The following is a 4,901-nucleotide window of genomic DNA, read 5'->3' on the forward strand; positions in this document are numbered from 1 at the left end:
GAACTTGGACAGGTCCCATCTGCTCTCTGAGACTCAGTTTTCTTATATGTAAAATGAGGGGTGAGAGACTAAACTATCTCTAAGCTCCTGAGAGCTTTGCCGTTTTAGGATATACTGTAAATAGATTCATAATGACAAGGACTCAGGGGTTCCTAAACCTAGCATCAGGAACGCTAAGGAGTGTGTTAAAAAATAAAGATTTTTCTGATCCAACCCTGGAGAATCTGATTCAGTATGTCTCAGTTAGGGCCTAGAAATATGTATTTTTAATAGGCTCAGGTAATTCTTCACAGCTTATGCTCAGCCTGGCTGGTATTTGAGAGCCACAAGAGGAACTGAAAGCCCTTTGCAGACAGCCCAGATCTGGGTCATTTTCATTATTTCAAAAAGTCTCATTGGATGAAAACACTGACCTCTCCCCAGTTCCCCTAGCCCCCATCCTACATTCTGGGCCTTGAAACCAGCCACAATTGCAGATAACTTTCAGCTGCATTATTCAGCCTCATTTGGGGGGCAGGGGAGAAGCCTTTGTATTTTGCATTTTTTGATTCCCTTTTGTTAGAATACAGTCCCAAAGAGGCGGTGGGTTTTAAAGAGGGGACAAAACCCTCCAACTCTAACTTGACTCACCGTATGATGCTGGACCAGGAACTCAGCCGAGCGTCCCAGTTTTCCTGGTCTGGAAAATGGGGAACGTGAGCTGTGGCCTGTCCCTCATGTCACATGCTGCTAGCAAAAATTTTTTAAAGCTTACAAATGCTTTGAGGATTAATAAGGTGCTTGGAAAAAGGGCAGTTTCTAAAAACGTGGTGTTTGTATTCAACATTGATGGGGAGCCAGTGGTGCTATGTGTGCTGGAAAGAGCACAAAATTAGCAGTGATGGTGATCTGATTTGATTCCAGGGGACTGAAATATCTAAATACAAAATCCAGGCGAGACAAGCCTTGACAAAGGACAGGTGCCTTCTCACAATGTGACACAGGAGACAAAGGTCCTTAGCTAAGGGTGGGGAGGGAGGAATGCGGGAAAGTCATCTGGCAGAAAAGAGGAAGACAGGAGTGGGAAAACATGGCAGGTCTGCCAGGCAGGATTAGGGCCCATCTGAATTTCAATCTGAATTTAAGGGGAGGGCTGTCAGCTACCTTGCGCGTGTTTTCTCAGCCACATACAACTTCCTGGGGCAGGCAATGAGCAGACTGAGTGTTGAAGTTGACCAGGATTTAGGTTTTTCCAGACTAGCACAATGGGGGAAGGGCAGAAGAGAGAGTTGATAGAATATGCAGAGGGGACTGGTGATGCCAGGCACCCCGTGTAGAGGCAGAATTGCCCCCTTCAAAACTCTCCAGGGAAGAGCCGAGTGAAATGCATGCATTCTCTCCGAGGGGATGCAAGAGAAAGTGGCTGGGCCACCAATTTTCCAAGGATTTCAATCTCTCTTCCCCTCCCAGTGGGGATAGAGATGGCAAGTATTTCAAAAACGGAGAGTCTTTTTTTTTTTTTTTTTTTTTTTAGACGGAGTTTCGCTCTTGTTGCCTAGGCTGGAGTGCAATGGCACAATCTTGGCTGACCACAACCTCTGCCTCCCGGTTCAAGCAATTCTCCTGCCTCAGCCTCCCAAGTAGCTGGGATTACAGGCATGCACCACTATGCCCAGCTAATTTTGTATTTTTAGTAGAGATGGGGTTTCTCCATGTTGGTCAGGCTGGTCTCGAACCCCCAACCTCAGGTGATCCTTCCAAAGTGCTGGGATTTCAGGTGTGAGCCACTGCGCCCAGCCAAGAGTTTTTTACTCAAAGGAAGAAAACAGCATGCATGGGAAAGGAGCTCTATTCCCACCCAATAATAGAGCTCCTGGAAGTTGGTGCTGGGAGCGTTGCAGGGAAGAAAGGGTTAATATTATCTGAGTGTGTGTGACTGTGAGACCCCCTTCATTCAGGACAATGTTTACTTAACAAACTGTGTATTGTGTGCTCAGTACTAATCAACTATGTATATGTTAACACACAGAAAAATATCAGACATTTAAAAAAGAGATTAAAAGTAAATAGAAATTCTAATATTTTCTTCCCACACTCCCAGCAGATCAGTATTTTTATTCCCTATCTAACACTCCTCCTTTTGGAGACCAATTCTCTAGCCTATGCTTCCATGAGAATCACCTGTGGATCTTAAAATGCATATTCTGGCCGGGCGCAGTGGCTCATGCCTGTAATCCCAGCACTTTGGGAGGCCGAGGCAGGTGGATTACTTGAGGTCAGGAGTTCAAGACCAGTCTGACCAACATGGTGAAACCCTGTCTCTACTAAAAATACAAAATTAGCCGGGCAAAGTGGTGCGTGCCTGTAATCCCAGCTACTTGGGAGTCTGAGGCAAGAGAATTGCTTGAACCTGGGAGGCAGAGGTTATAGTGAGCCGAGATTGCACCACGCATGTGCCACCACGCCCGGCTAATTTTTGTATTTTTAGTAGAGACGGGGTTTCTCCATGTTGGCCAGGCTGACCTCAGGTGATCTGCCTGCCTCAGCCTCCCAAAGTGCTGGGATTACAGGCGTGAGCCACCGCACCCGGCCAGCACCTTGCTTTTATTTTGTTTTGTTTTTACAAAACGCTGGATCCTTTACTATGTCGTCTATAGGTATGAGTTTGCATCTTGGCTGCATTCCTAATGAATACGACCTTGGGTAAGTCGCTGAACTCTTTGTGTCTCAGTTTCTCCATCTGTAAAGTGGGGGTAACAAGAACACTACAATGAGGTTATTGCCAAGATCAAATGAGTTGTATGTAAAGTGCCTGGACCACTCCCTGGAAGATAGAAGGTGCTCAGTAAATATTATCAATTATTATTTTTATTATCTTTCCTACCAAAAGGACAAGTCATCTTGTTCCTGGGCCAGGGGCATGTGCCCTGGCCCATGTGTACTATAAACAATATATAGACTAGATATAGCAGGTTGCAGCACTTCTCAGACTAGATGGAATAGGCTCACCAGGTGAGGGAAGCAGGAGATGTTCTCGCTGTATATGTGCTTCACACACCCTCCGCCTTGAGGTTCAACTCAGTAAATTTGGGTTAGGGGGTTAGCAATCTGAATTTTTGTTTTTGTATTGGGGCCTCACTCTGTCATCCTGGCCAGAGTGTAATGGCACAATCATGGCTCACTGCAGCCTAAACCTCCAGGGTTCAAATGATCCTCCTGCCTCAGCCTCCTGAGTAGCTGGGACTACAGTCATGTGCCACCATGCCCACCTAATTTTTTTGTTGTTGTTGAGATGGAGGACCTCACTATGATGCCCAGACTGGTCTCAAACTTCTGGGTGGCTCCAATGATCATCCCACCCCAGCCTCCCAAAGTGCTGGGATTACAGGTGAGAGCCACTATGCCTGGTCTAGCAACCTGAATTTTATTTATTTATTTACTATTTAATTTATTTTTATTATTTATTTATTTATTTATTTATTTATTTATTTATTTATTTATTTCTTGGGATGGAGTCTCGCTCTGTTGCCTAGGCTGTGGTGCAGCGGCACTATCTTGGCTCACTGCAACCTCCGCCTCCCGAGTTCAAGCGATTCTCCTGCCTCAGCCTCCTGAGTAGCTGGGATTACAGGCGCGCACCACCATGCCCAGCTAATTTTTGTATTTTTAGTAGACACAGTTTCACCATGTTGGTCAGGCTGGTCTCGAACTCCTGATCTCGTGATCCACCCGCCTCGGCCTCCCAAAGTGCTGGGATTACAGGCGTGAGCCACCGCGCCTGGCCCTGCAACCTGCATTTTAAATAAGCTCCACAGGTGGTTGTGTGGTCAGTGTCCTGAGGACTGTGTTTAGAGAAAAGCTGGTTGTTCATGTCTCAGTATTCACGTCTAAGCCAGTGTGTGGCCTTTCCATTGTTTTGGTCTTCTCCCTACAAGCCTGCACAGCTGATAAGAATTCTGGGCTCTGGTATTTAAATATCACATCATCATTGTTTTGCTACTTATCTTAGGCAGGTATTTTGAATTCACCTGGCCCAAGGCTTTCTCATTTTAGAGCAGCCAAGCTCGGATTCAGCTCCTGGATCCAGGTGCAGTGGGCTCCCAGCTTTTTCTCTCCCTTGACTACGTGGGCCGAGAGGGGCTGTGTCTGCTCCAGCTGCTTCTGATTAAATTACCCCGTCATCCAGCAAGGAATGCCAGTGTGCCTAGCTTGGAAAGGGCAGACCGTGCCTGTTCACCATGGCATCCTGGTCCTTGGCATTTCACATAGGGCCCAGAACACAGTAGAAACTCAATAAATGCTTGCTGAACGAATGAATCAAGTTGCATTATATAACATGTACAAACAGATTCTCATTTTATAAAACAATCAATGTGTGTTGATCAAAATGAACTCAGTGCATCTACCTTACATTAAAATATGGGTCAGAAACTACCACCTTGAAGACATTTTTCAGAAGCCCAACCAGCTTAGTATGTACTCCTTAACTTCACAAGGAGAATTCCTTAGCCGAGAGAGTGCTGGAGAGGATGCAATCACATTGCTGGTCTGCAGAAAGGGCTCAATCAAGTGGTTCCTGCCCTCGTTCCTCTCCTGTTCAAAGAGTCTGTAAATTAGGATTCCAAATGGTGACAGCTCTGGACAGATGAGGAACCCGAGGCCCAGAGAGGTCAAGTCACATGCTCTAAGGCACACAGCAAGTAAATGACCCACTGAGGATTTGAATCAGAGCCAGATGCTGCTGCCTGACTCCAATCTCTTTTCATCTAATTGGTTAACAAAGGTTGACTCCCTAGCCATTGCATCAAATCACACCTAAGGCTTGTTAAATGCAGACTCATGGGTTCCCCTGTTGATCAGAACTTTGTGGGATAGGGGCCAGGAATTTTTAATAAAACATGCCAGGCGTGGTGGCTCACGCC

The 4,901-nt window shown here is 46.0% G+C and overlaps 1 annotated feature.

Moving 5' to 3' along the window:
• Window positions 448-557: an enhancer, noted in NCBI's record as "active region_18888". NCBI's record gives its function as "activates an Ori minimal core promoter by ATAC-STARR-seq in GM12878 lymphoblastoid cells {active_cell/tissue: GM12878}" and the evidence as "EXISTENCE:reporter gene assay evidence [ECO:0000049][PMID:35858748]".

This window comes from Homo sapiens, chromosome 22 (genome assembly GCF_000001405.40).
Source record: "Homo sapiens chromosome 22, GRCh38.p14 Primary Assembly".
NCBI lineage: Eukaryota > Metazoa > Chordata > Mammalia > Primates > Hominidae > Homo > Homo sapiens.